The following is a 13,728-nucleotide window of genomic DNA, read 5'->3' as shown; positions in this document are numbered from 1 at the left end:
TACACAGCAATAACTAGCTGACATGCATGCTCAAGGGTCTCTCATCTTAAAAGCATATGTGACTCACAGCAACCCCTGTGGGCCGTCTTCATGTTCCCGCCACCCTCCATCAACCATTCAACTCCGCTTCAGTCCAATTCCAGATCCATCTACTCTCACTGTTGCTAATGACACTCTCTGACTTTGCTGAAACCACCCCCAGCAGTCCCCAGTGACCTTCTTACAATGAGACTCAGTGGTGATTTGTCAGTTCTCATCACATTCAACATCTCCCCAGCATTTCCCACTCACTCCTCTCTTTCATCCTTTCTGAAACACGCTCTTTCCATGGACATGCAGATGCTCACCCTTCTGATTTTCCGCCCTCTCAACATTCTGAGCTCCTGTTCTCTCCTTCCTGAAATGCTGCTGTTCCTCAGCTGCCTGCTAAGCCCCCTCCTTATCTCATACACTCTCCTTTGGTGATCCTATACACTCCTGTGGATCCAAGTTTCAGCTCTAAAGCTTCCACATCAACTCTTTCCAGTTCTATCTCTTTTCTTCAGTTTTTTACCTGAGTATCTGTCTACTGAGTATTTCATCATGGGTATCCTACAAACTCAATGCATCAAACCCAAAACATCTTTCCTCCGAAGCTACTCCTCTCCCACATCCCTTATTCAGTGATGAACACCACCAGTCACCCCATCACCCAAGCCAGACGGCTGGACTCAGTCTCAAGCCCTCCACATCCTCCCTCACCCAAGCAATCACCACATTCTGCCAACTGCACCTCTGACATCACTTGAGCACGGGAATTTGAGACCAGCATAGGCAGCATGGCAAGACCTCATCTCTACAAAAAAAAGTTTAAATTTCCTAAAACTGTCTTTGTTTCTCCATCCCTGACCTGGGCTACCACGTCCCCATGGGGCCACAGCTCCTGTCCTGACTAGCCTCCTTTGTCCCACTTCTGCCCCCATTCATTCTCCACACCAGCAGCACGGTGACACCAACAGGGGCCTCTGACCATCCCCACTACTCATCCGAAACTCTCCATGGGCTCTGCTCTTTAGATGAGGTCTCAACTCTTCAATGAGCTGGTTTTTACCTCTTCACCCTCAGCTCTCACCGCCAATGCCCTCCCAATCCACTTTATGGTCAAACAGCCAGCATTCCGTGTAATTCACTCATGAGCCACACTTCCTCTAATCTAGTGGCCTCTGCACAAGGAGTCCCTCTACCTGGAATATTCTGCCTCCTCTTTTTACTTGGTGACCTGATGAGCCATCCCTTCCAACTCCAGGTCTTCCCTGGTGCCCCTTGACCCACGGTGTCTCATCGTCCACGTTCCCATGCATATATGGGTTCCCACAGCCGCCACAGCCCTCGTTACCCAGCTCACATGCTTAAAACTTCCAACTGACTGCATGCTCTGGGGTGCTCAATAAATATGCATTAGATGAAAAGGCTGAAACATTCCTACCACTCCTTTGGGAAAAGTTTATTTATTGAAAGTATCAGGGTGGGCAAGGTGGCTCGTGCCTGTAATCCCAGCAGAGAGGCCAAGGCCCGAAGAGGCCAGGGAGGCTGAGGCTAGAGGATCACTTGAGCTTAGGAGTTAGATACAAGCCTGGGCAACATGGCAAGATCCCATCTCAAAAAATAAAAATTAGCTGGGCTGGCCGAGCGCAATGGTTCACGCCTGTAATCCCAGCACTTTGGGAGGCCGAAGTGGGTGGATGACCTGAGATCAGGAGTTCGATACCAGCCTGGCCAACATGGTGAAACCCCGTCTCTACTAAAAATACAAAAAATTGGCTGGGCGTAGTGGCAGGCACCTGTAATCCCAGCTACTCAGGAGGCTGAGGCAGGAGAATCACTTGAACCCGGGAGGCGGAGATTGCAGTGAGCCAAGATCACATCATTGCACTCCAGCCTGGGCAACAAGAGCAAAACTCCATCTAAAAAAAACAGGCAATAAACACAAACTGCTCTAAAAATTGGAAAATGTTACAGAATTGGGTTGTCTAAGATTGACTGACTCAAGGCACTCAAACTGCAGTTCTCCAGACCAGGCCAGTAGAGGGAGCTGTCGGCTTTGGAAATATGACATCATACCAGCCACGCGGCATGAACAGACTCCAGGAATTCTTAGCATAAGGCATTTACCATGCAGATGGAGGGGCAGGGTTAGTAGGGGAGGGCAGCATCCCTGCTCTTTGCAGGGCAGGCAGGGGTCTGAAGGAGGAGCCAGGCAAGCCCCAAGCTGGCTGAGGAGCCCTCCTGGCTGGCCAGCGGGCAGGGGTGTGGCGCTGCCATGGCCAATCAGAAGAGCTCAGAAAAGCTCACAGGAAAAGATAAGGCAACGCTGGGAAACCGAGACTCACCAAGTTCTACTCTCTTATTTGAAACGGTATAAACTGAGAAAAAAGGAAGCACTTCAAAACAACATGAACATCACAATGAGATCACACTAAGATCGTGATCGTGTGCACTGCTAATAAAATAAGATAAATAACATGAAGAGGCATTGTTCCTGGGTTCTGACCAAGTCATAAATTCTCCTCTGAACTGGGACTCTCCCCGATTCAGCTCAGGAACCAGGGCTCCCCCGCAGCCCAAACCCACAGCTGCCCCTGAGAATCCCTCCCGTTCTGTCCCCGTCCCCGGGCAGCATCCTGCCAGGCTGGCTCTCAGCACGTAGCCTCAGAATTTTACAATTAAATGCAAGAAATAACAAGTTGCAAGCACACATCAGAGGTTCCTTATACCCAAAACAAGCTTCACGTGCTGTATCCCATCACCAGCTCAAAGAGACCCCTGGCGTTTCCTCACTTTACCACGTCCATGCTATTCTGTTAAAGCACAACAAGGAAACAGAAATAAACACACAACTCTATCCATGGGACTTCTTGTTCCTTTCTTTGGTTATCTTATTTTATTTTTGTTAGTGGAGCGGTGGTGAAAGTTGAAATGACTGGCTAAATGAGACTTAGGGATTACATGGGGATTTATTTTCAAACGTTCTCTCCATTTACAGACCTAGTACAGATTTGGCTGTATTTTTATTGTGCATTAAATAGCCGAGGAAATTAGACTTTTTAGAGAACACTCAAAAGGCAGATGAAGGCATTTGCATCCGAATTCGTACTCATAAATGCTGTGTCCTCCAGAAACCCAGAGCTTCCAACTCTCAGACAACCAACCCAGTTGCCATAGCAAATAATATAAACATATGGTTGCTTTAAGATTGCGCTTCACAATGCTGATTCTGCTTAGTGCGACTGCTGTCTACACAAGCCATCCTCCATCACTGGTTTGGCACGGGCTTGTGACGCAACCCTGGTTGGTGAGATGGCAACGATACTCTGCTGGAGCCTTCTGGAAATGTTTTCCTGTCTTATAAAGGGAAACGCCGACAGGGATTTGCTCCTCTTCCTTGATGTCCCTGAGTGTTGCAACGTGAAGCCGTGGCACTTCTAGCAGCTGGGGCCACCTTGGGACCATGAAGGAAAAGGCGAATGTATTTCTGAGAAGTGGCTCTAGGTCCCAGCATCACCCAGCTACTCAGTGAAGCAACCCTGCAACATCGCCCGCAGATGTCTTGTGTTGCAAGAGAAGGCAGTGTCCTTGTGGTTGAAGCCAAAAGCATCCTAACAGGTACTAGGCTCAAAAGAGAGCTGGGGAAATACAACTGAAAACCAGAGTTTTGGTTCATTTGAGTAGGGAAATACTGAAAAGACTGATCTCAGCCAGGGCTTGCAAGAACACTCTTGGACACTCAGGGGAAAGGAGAAATCGCCACAGCTTTCTAAAGACCACTTGGCAGCTGCATACACTTAAAACAGGCACAGCCCTTGCTGAAGCAATTCTGTTCTAAGAGTGTGTCTGCACATTGCTTCTCCTCTTCCTTGCCCTGCTTTCGGCCTAGGAAGCTGACCTGCACCAACAGCACCTGCCCAGTTTCCGCCCCAATGAGGTTTCTGGGTTGGCTCAGCAGGGGACCAGGGTGGAAGGAGCGGGACATCTGGCCCTGCCTCCCACTCCGGCCCCTGGCTGCGGTTCTAGGCCGAGGCTGCCTCTCGGGTTCCAGCTTCTTGGCCTGTGTCACTCGGGTTCTAGGCCGAGGCTGCCTCTCGGGTTCCAGCTTCTTGGCCTGGGTCACTCTCTGCAGAGTCCCTCCCCTTAATCCTTTCAATGTTGGTTCCCTTAACTCTACCCTTCCCCCCGTAATTGACAGGCCCTCATCAACTCCTCTGTTCAGCCCTCTGAGACCACCTGTCACTCAACATGCTTCAAGCTGCCAGGATCCTAACACGCTGTCCTCAGAGATGCACCCCAGATCCAAAGACTTCACTACAGCCTTGCTGCCGTTGATTAACTCAAAAGCCCACCTGTCCAGTAACTGGGACAGTTAAGTATACCACGGTTCATGCATTTTACACAATATCCTCTTTTCCAACAAATATTTAAGAAGCAAGTACTTCATGTTCAAGGACTGGCCTAAGAGCCGGGTCCACCACAGTGAGTGAAGGCCAGTCATAACGCAGCCTCTCAAATTTGAAGTCTTGGTGGGGAACCGGGCATGAGCCACACATCCCCGTGCAGGAAGGCAGGGCTACGAGCGCCTGGCAGGGCTCAGGGACACCGACACAGCAGGAGCTTCTAGATTAATAACCATGTGAACAAAACCACTAAAAACACAGTCTCAACAGCACTAGCCCAGTCATGTGAATACAAAGCGCACATACATACGTGTGTGTTTGGAAAGGACTGAATGAGGTCTGAAGAGGTGACTCCTGAGTGCTGATAAGGGAGCTGGAATATTTGGAAGACAGAGAAGGGATCTTTTTCTTCCTCCCTGATAATACTTTTGTAGTCATTTTTGGCTGTAAGCAAATATGCATGGACAGCTTTTGAAATTAACAAATCATCAAAGAAATAAAACTGGTTATGAAATTGATTAAAATGGGACATCACCTGATTGGGCCTAAACAGCCTCTTTGGCAAAACAGCACAGGAAAGTCATGAACACATGCTCACCTGCCTTCCTCATTTTCACTTTAATTCCGTGATGCCTCTGTGTCTGTCTGACAACATCTCTCGTGGGGTCTGTGACTCTGCTGGTCTTCAGTGCCCACTGAGAGGGGTCCTTTGCCGTCATCAGGCATAAAATCTTCAAAGCTCTCCATCCTCAATGTGGGGTCCCTGGGCCAGTGGCATCAGCCTCACCAGGAAACCTGTTGATCTGCTCATTCTTGGGCCCCACCCCAGGCCTATTCAAAGAAAGACTCCAGGGGCAGGGCCTGGCAGTCTGTGTTTCCACCAGATCTGTGTTAATGCTCACATGAGCCAGCCCAGGTGATGCTGACGCCGGAGGCGCAAGATTGGGAGCCAGTGTCTAAGGAAACTATGCCCATGGGGACAGGGGCAGCCCCTGGAGGTTCAGAAAGAAATTAGGGAAAATCTCTTCGGCACATTGAGGCAATTAAGACACACACAAGGAAGCTTTTTAATCTGTGTTTGTTTAAATGGTGTAAAGTCCCTCTCCCCTCTGCCTCCGTATGCAACCTCAACAATTCAGTCCCAAAGCCTCAGGCAGCAGCCTAGGTTGGGTGTCCAGGGATCAGAGCCCAGGCCAGAGGGTGGGTGCACACAGTGGCGGCCACAGAGAGCTCAAGCAAATCAGTAAGTAGGGGAAGATAACAAAAGCCAGTAAAAAAGAAAAAAAAGGCCAGGCCCGGCGGCTCACGCCTGTAATTCCAGCACTTTGGGAGGCCAAGGTGGGCGGATCACTTGAGGTCAGGAGTTCAAAACCAGTCTGGCCTACATGGTGAAACCCCGCCTCTGCTGAAAATACAAGAAGTAGCTGGGCACGGTGACTGGCGCCTATAATCTCAGCTACTCGGGAGGCTGAGGCAAGAGAATCGCTTGAACCTGGGAAGCAGAGGTTGTAGAGAGCTGAGATTGTGCCACTGCACCCCAGCCTGGGCGATAGAGCAAGACTCAGACTCAAAAAAAAAAAAAAAAAGAAAAGAAAGAAAGAACGAAAGAAAACAAGAAGTAAAGAAAAAATACATTATAATAATGATTTTATTTAAATTGAAAAGGCAGAGTAAACCCATCTAGGCATCAAATCATTAACAACAGTTATCTCCAGAGAGCAGACTGAAGAGAGGGCTGACAGTGAGGTGGAAGAGGTATTCACCTCTAATTTCCTTGCTCATGTGGGGTCATTTTCCCCCCAAACACTGTGTATTGTATTTTAAAATCAGCCTCCAAGAACATCAGCCAGGCCAAGTGGAGGAAGCAGGATAATGGCTGAGGCCTCTGCCCGCCTCCTCCTGTCCACCCAGGCAGGTTTCCAGCTGTGATGCTGCCCTCAGGATAGCCCAGACCCTGGTACATACCCCGGCCACCCGATCCTGCTACCTGACTTGGACTCCAGCTCTGTCTGGCAGCACGGCTACCCCTGGGTGGGCCAGCTCCCAAGAGAGCTGAGAACACAGGAATCTTCCCTCCTATCCAGCTTCCCACCTGCCACAGTCTGAATGTTTCTGTCCTCCGAAATTCCTGTGCGAAAATCCTGCCTCCAGGATGACACTACAGCAGGTGGCTTTCGGAGGTGATTAGGTCCTGACGGAGGGGTCCTCGTGGTGGGATTAGTGCCCTCACAAAAGAGGCCCCAGAGAGCTGCTTATTTCCTTTATCACAGCCTAAGCAGATGAAGACACCATCTGTGACCAAAGGCAACAGAGAGAAGCCAGGAGTGTGACTAGAACCATCGAGGGACACCACCCAATTTCTGTTCCTTAAGGAAGATGGCAGGGACAGGCCTCTGTTGATGAGGAGGATGGGGTATTACACCTAATTCAGTGAACCCTGCAAAATTCCGGCAATGCCCCACAGATAGAAGGGCAGAAAAGGAGAGGTGGTCTATGGGGACGCTTTGAGACCCACTGATGCCATTTTTCAACACTCCAGGCACATGAGGCCAGGGAGGGCACTAAGCTCCCGAGGCCACCTTCCCCCTGAGGTCCCACCAGGCAAAGGGTGGGGGCTGCTCCTTGGTTGTTACAGGCTCCCATGCCACACTCAACTTGGAAGTAAAACTACACAGCCCAGGAGGGGAGTGGCTGCGGGGCCTGCACCTGGACCCGAGTTCTTCCCACCACGCCCCAGGCTGCTGGGCACTGAGCCTGGATGGAAATCAGCTGGAGCCCTTTCCTTCTTCCTTTGCCAGAGAGCCCTCCAATCTCCAAGAGGACCTGTGTCATCCTTGACTTAAAATAAACCAGAGAAGGATGAGCACAGTCCCTGCAGAAGAATGAGCAAGCCAGAAAAAAAAAAAAATAAAATAAAATAAAGCAAAAACAAAAAACAACCCTGGATCACTGTAAAGACAGTGAGATTCAAAAAGAAGGGGCTGGGCTACAGGTTTCAGGGCAGCATCTTCATCTGAAATAGATCGATTGCTCCCCGGTTGTCTAGTGCCTAGGAAACAATTTAAAAAATGAAATTGGTTTATTGCAAGAAGCAAAAGAACATTTTTCAAATTTTAACAATCCATATTCTTAGAAAAATTCAATAGGTCACTGACTCAGTGAAAAACATAAGCATTTGTGGAAAGGGAAGCAATTTGAAATCTGGAGAGACTGCATAAAGTTAAAAAAATTTAACCGCGTTTTTGAATATGGTGCTATAAGACCAATAACTTTTGGTAGAATATGTTGGAAGAAAACAACCACAAAGAAATATGGGCTTTTACTTAGGTCTGATGCTGGTAGCAGTGGTGGTATTCTAATTTCTGATTCTTTGGTTAAAAAAAAACTGTTCATAGCTGGAAACTGAGCTAATGAGGTGACTGGGTCTCTTTTCCCTCCAGGGAAGTGCTGGTGCTGGATGTGGGGTTCTGGGTGCTGTCCAGGGGACCCTCTGGCAGTATTCAGTTCCTAGGCTGCTCCACAACTCTACAAGGTTAGAAGTTAAGCTGTAAAACTGATTGTCCACAGCAAGGCAATTGCATTGTATCTGGTAGAGATATAATTTACTTCCTGTTATAGCTCAGGCTGCTATGACAAAATACCATAGACTAGGTGGCTTAAACAATAGACATTTATTTCTCACAGTTCTGGAGGCTCCTCCTCCTGTTTGCAGGCAGCTGTCTTCTCACTGTGTCCTTACATGGTGGGGAAGGAGCGAGCTCTGGTCTCTTCCTCTTCTTATAAGGACACTAATCCCATCATGGTGGCCCTACTCTCATGATCTCATCTAAACTTAATTACTTCCCCAAATCCCCACCTTCTAATGCATCACATTGGGAGTTGGGGTTTTAACATATGAATTTGAGGGGGAGGACATAAACATTCAGTCCATAACATCACCTTATAGAAAAGATAACCCACAACATTATATTCTATTGCCTTATAGGATATTAACCAGTTTTGCATCTATTAGCAGATGTATTTCAGCATTTGTGATTGCCTCTATGTGCCTGTTCTTCAAATTTCCTTTGAACTGGCCTTAACTAATTACTAGCCCATCACTAATTAATGAGTTTTCACTTTCTGTCCACCTAAGAGTCAAATTTTTAAGCTTTTGAAAATTATCCTTTAGTATCACCACTTTGTGCACATTTGTCGTAGGACAGGAAAATGGGTAAATGCATTGTGATTGCTGCAAACCAGGTTTCTTGCCGACAAAGAATGGGGGAAGCATATGGAAAGGGTGAAGAGGAGGAATACTATGGTGTTGCATTTGGATTGGAGGTATCCTTATTTTTTAAATATTTTTTTTTCTAACTCTGCTCACTGAAATGCCTAGAAGCAATAACATTTAGTGTGAATGAGCACAGCTAGAGTCCAGATTTTGGTTTCTAAATACCATTCCTCACTAAAAAAAGAACTATCATTCCTTGAAGATACAGCTGGTTACAGACAGGGACTGGGAAAGTCCAGGGAGAATGTGGAACACTTTGGTGTGCCATAAATCAAGAAAATACTCAAAACTGACAGAAATATGACAAAAGGACACTGGAGCCATCTTCAGGGTTACCAACTGGCTGGGTTTGGGATAACTTCAGCACTGAAAAGAACAAAGGCGTTATTGAAGTAGAACACACGAGATTTTTAAAAAATGAGTAATGGTACCAAAAAAAGGGTGGGGCTAAAGGAAAGCTCTTCTTTATAGAAAAATATCAGATAATAAGTGTAAAATAAATGATTCAGAAAAGGATTATCAATGGCAAAAACTGGTGGGGAAACAGGATATTCATACAATCTCTAAGTATCACCTTGCAGATTACTTACTAATTACAGAGGGGAAATATCTGCCTTTAAAATGGAGAAATGTAAGCAGTTCGTCAAATTTAGCATCACCCACACCAGGACACACTGGCAGTATGTGTCCTGATAGGACACACCAAGGACATATCATGGCCAATGCCATATTCTTGCCAAAAATATACGATGTGCTCCTGACTCTGAAGAAACAATCATGGGTGAATATAAAATCAAAACACCTGCAAACAGGCAAGACTCTGGAAAGCACCTCATGGGTATCAAAGCACAGCTATTATCTCTAACGCACAAAGAGCTCTGGCAGATCAGTAAGAAAAGAAATCCCCTCTTATCGTACATTCTCATATTGTCATGACCTAATCCTTGTCCCAGCTCTCACCAGCAACACCTGTCCCTCATCTGTATTTCTAGCAGGGACCAGATTTTGGAGCTCCTTCTCTTCCTGACTTGCCATGGAGACCTCTTTACTTAGAGGTCTCAGAGCATTTCAAAGTCATGATAGCCAGCTCAAAACCAATGTTCCTCCCATTCATCTTCTTTTACTTATATGCCCTTTGCAGTTGGTGTTATCCCCTGTCCCAAAGCCCAAAGCCATCCTAGACCCCCAGCTCTCCTCCATGGCCCGCATCACCACCACCGCCAACTGTGTTTCTAGCCACACAGCTCCCGGCCCTTCCCTGTGCTCTGAGCCCTCTGCTACGCCCCTGGGATCCTCTCACCCCTGTCACCACTCACGCAGCCTCACGCTACTGAAATACATTCCCTTGCATTGGGCTTAGACCCTTAATGGTCTGGTCCCCATCCTTCCCTCATCTCTCCTAGACACACGCCATCCTACAGCCATGCCCACCTACACTGTCCCTAAGACTCGCCATTCCTGAGAACTGCCCGGCTCCCTCTCAGCCCCAGCTCAAATCCCCTTCTTGCAAGACCTTATCATGAACTTCAGGCTAGATAGAGTGTTCTCATCCCACAGCACCAAGCTCCGGCAGACAGATGGTGCTGGGCTTCGTGTGTTTCTCTGTCCCATGAGCTGCAGAATTACTCAAGGACGGGGCTGCCCTGCACTTCTGTATCCTTGGTCCCTGACATGGCAGCTGGCCCACGAGAGGAAACGAATCACTGAATGCCTTACAAAGCCCTTTCACACTCTTGCTAGGTTTTCAAAGCCTGGAACCCTCCATGGAAGTGATGCCTCACGCTTCGAAACCTGAGGAGGTGAACACATGTTAGCACAGCCCCTGGCCCTTTCTAAGTTTGAAGAGTTCCCCCACTCTATTCGTCTTGATTGAAAAGTAGGGTGCCCAGACCACTCCCACCACAGGGGATGAAACTGTCAAACACTGGTTTTCCAGCCTCCCTGGCCCCCCACCCATCAGATCCACCCAGGGTGGCTTTGGTCCAGGAGCTTGTGAAGCAACAAGGGACAAGGAGGTCTCCTTTTGGTGACAGCAACAGCCATTTCCCAACCAGAATCAACATACAGTGTGGTCGGGGGCACTTCCTCCAGTTTCCAGGCCCTGAGTGGGATTCTCAACAACCCGACAACCGTGTAAGCTTCCCCTCCTTCCTTCAACACACAAGCGCCTGTTCTTCCTGGCTCAGCTGCAGGCAGCTTCTTTGCTTGCAACTGAGAACTTGACCGATGAAACAGACAGAATCTTTGGAGGCAAAGAAATGTGAAAGGGGTCAGTGATAAACCTGGTCAAGACCACTGTTCCAAATGAAGTGTGATTATGAAGAGGCAAGCATAGGTTTCATGTCTGTCCTCAAAAAAATGTCTGGATACAGTTCCAAAGCAGGAGAGTCGCAATGCACTTGGCAATATTGACATAAGCACTGTCTTCTTGATGACTGATGGGCTGAGGGCCACATGCTTGGATACCCGCTCACAAGATGCTCCCACTGACTTCATCTCAGCTTGTTACACGGATACTCTAACAGCTCTCAGAAACAGTTCCTGGCGTTTCTTTAACTCTACAGGTGAAGTGCAAAGTCACCTTCTACACGTGTCTACTTTCATGATTAACTATCACTGAGACACATGATTGTGTCTCTTCCACTGGTGGGTCTGCCAGCCTCGTGCCACCCCCAGTCTTCGGGAGCAGGATGGAGTGTGAGGCTTCAGGTGAAGCGGTGACAAGGGTGGCTTTCTGGTACAGATTCATATTCAAAAACTTTGGGCAGTATCGGAGCTTGATCTGCCCATACTGAATTCTGAACAAGTGGGTAAATGCATAGCGTGTGGTCACAGCAATCAGCCCTTCCCTGGCACCCCTTGGTAGCAGGACATGGTCTCTGATCATTTCCATCCTGACTGCATCGCAACGGGAGCCCGGGCTGCCCGGCGGCGGTGCTCTGGCCACGGCTCTGAGAGGAAAGGGGAAAGCCAGCTCTTACCTGCCTGTGCAGCTGTGATTAGGGCTGTGTTCCCCTCGCTGTCCTGCCAGTTGACGTCAACGTGGGGGCACTCTGCTAAGGCCACCACGGTATCCACAAAGCCGTGGTAGCAGGCGACAATAAGGCCGGTCTAGAAATGAAGAGGGGAAGCGGGTCAGAGGGGCAGAGTCGGAGCATGGTGGGTCAGCACTGGGGACCCCGAGGGGCACCCACTACCCTCCAGGGGGCTGGACAAGGCAATGACAGGGACCTGGAGTCCCAATTCTCAGAGATGGTTTAGAGTGAGCCAGCCGCTCGATCCTTCTCAAATGTGTGTTGAGCACTGACTCGAGTGAGGGCCTAGACGTGAAAACATCAGTGAACTGCTAAGGTCTCAGCCCTCCTGGGGTGTGCTTTCTCCAGGGAGGGAAACACACCAACTATGGGGCTCGTAGAGAAATAAACGACAGAGCACGGCAGACGGCGATGGGGTAAAAAAGGTGTGTGCAGGGCGGGTGCAGCTCTCTAGGGAATAGAGTGGTCAGGCTGGGCTTGGCAGAGGTGATGTTGGGGTCCGTGTGTGAAAGAGGCAAGGCAGTGGGCCACAGGGACACAGAGAGGGGAAAATGCCCCAGTAGAGGAAACAGCTCAAGCAAGGGCCCCAACTCAGGACTGTGCCTGGTGCATCCAGGGAGCAGCCCATTGGCCGGCAGGGCTAGAGCAGAGTGAGTGAGAAGAGGAGGAGTAACCCGGGTCCAGGAGGCAACAGGAGGTCTCAGAGACCGTGGACAGGGGCCTGGGGACCCCCTGAGTAGGGGGAGTGTCCTGAGCCATCGGCTGCCAATCATCTGCATCCACTCTGGCTGCTGGGTGGGAAACAGGCTCTAGAAGAATGGGGTGGAGGAAGGGGGCTGATGGGAGACCACTGTGGGGCCAGGCAGGCAAGGATGGTGTCACACCAGGGTGGGGGCAGCAGCTGGGGAGGCGAATTTGGATTCTGGAAAGGAAGATTTGCTGTTAGAATGGAGGTGAGGTTGAATAGAAAAAGAGTCCAGGATGACCCCAGAGTTTCGGCCCTAGCAGCTGAGAGGATGCAGTTGCCATCAAATGAGAGCGACAGGATGTGGGACAGAGCGGGCGTGGGGACAGATGGCACGCAGACTTCAGTGTACTGTGGGAGACTGTCTCTGGACAACCCAGTGGTGACGTCAGGTAGAGATGAATAGCAGCGTGGAGTCATGGAGAGAGAACCAAGCTGGATACATACACTGATAGTTGATTTTGTAGATCTATTAATTAAGTATTACCAAATGTTAAAATCCTAGCTCCCAGTGGAATGGCGCAGGAAGTGGGGCTTTGGTGGGGTGATTAGATCACGAGGGTGGAGTCCTCATGAATGGGATTAGTGTCCTATAAAAAGGACCTCAAGAGCTCTCTTGTGCCTTTTTCCTCCATGTAAGGACACAGAGAGAAGTCTACAGTCTGCATCCTGGAAGAGGGCCCGGGCCAGAACCCCACCATGCTAGCGCCCTGATCCTGGGCTTCCAGCCTCCAGAACTGTGAGAAATAAATTTCCACTCTGTAAAAGATCTTGGACTTCTAGAACTGTGAGGAATAAACTTCCATTCTGAATAAGTACCCAGTCTATGGTGCTTTGTTGCAGCAACCCAAGTTGACGAAGAGACCTCGTAACAAAGGAAAACAGCGTAGACTCAGGTGTGAGGCTCACCGCCTCACAGACGTAGATACGGTGAGATGCTAAAATTCAACCCAGGGCAGGAGCTAATGACCAGGCAATCAAGTGTCACTCTTGGCACTGCCAGTCACACCACCACTGCATGAGAGGCACAAAGTTTATATTGAGAGCAACTCCACAGTGGCCCAGCCCAATCTTCACCAGATTTTTTTTTTTTTTTTTTGAGACAGAGTTTCACTCTTGTTGCCCAGGCTAGAGTGCAATGGTGCGATTTCAGCTCATTGCAACCTCCACCTCCTGGGTTCAAGCGATTCTCCTGCTTCAGTCTCTCAAGTAACTGGGATTACAGTCATGTGCCACCACGCCCGGCTA

The 13,728-nt window shown here is 49.0% G+C and overlaps 1 protein-coding gene across 2 annotated transcripts in view, besides 2 other annotated features; it reads right to left on the bottom strand.

The window, feature by feature from the left end:
* ANKRD33B (ankyrin repeat domain 33B) overlaps nucleotides 1-13,728 on the bottom strand; it is a 93,747-nt gene that overhangs the window by 27,673 nt on the left and 52,346 nt on the right. The window contains exon 2 of one of the 2 annotated variants that reach the window (NM_001164440.2): nucleotides 11,682-11,811. In NM_001164440.2, the coding sequence (NP_001157912.1) occupies nucleotides 11,682-11,811 (130 nt within the window). Of the gene's footprint in view, nucleotides 1-10,765; nucleotides 10,858-11,681; nucleotides 11,812-13,728 lie in introns of those variants that run through there. The other variant, XM_005248343.5, reaches the window with a different exon arrangement.
* Nucleotides 2,201-2,250: an enhancer, noted in NCBI's record as "active region_22370". NCBI's record gives its function as "activates an Ori minimal core promoter by ATAC-STARR-seq in GM12878 lymphoblastoid cells {active_cell/tissue: GM12878}" and the evidence as "EXISTENCE:reporter gene assay evidence [ECO:0000049][PMID:35858748]".
* Nucleotides 2,271-2,550: an enhancer, noted in NCBI's record as "active region_22369". NCBI's record gives its function as "activates an Ori minimal core promoter by ATAC-STARR-seq in GM12878 lymphoblastoid cells {active_cell/tissue: GM12878}" and the evidence as "EXISTENCE:reporter gene assay evidence [ECO:0000049][PMID:35858748]".

This window comes from Homo sapiens, chromosome 5, assembly GCF_000001405.40.
Source record: "Homo sapiens chromosome 5, GRCh38.p14 Primary Assembly".
Taxonomy (NCBI): Eukaryota; Metazoa; Chordata; class Mammalia; order Primates; family Hominidae; genus Homo; species Homo sapiens.
Note: the sequence above shows the minus strand (reverse complement) of the source record. Positions and strands in the feature narration are given on the sequence as shown.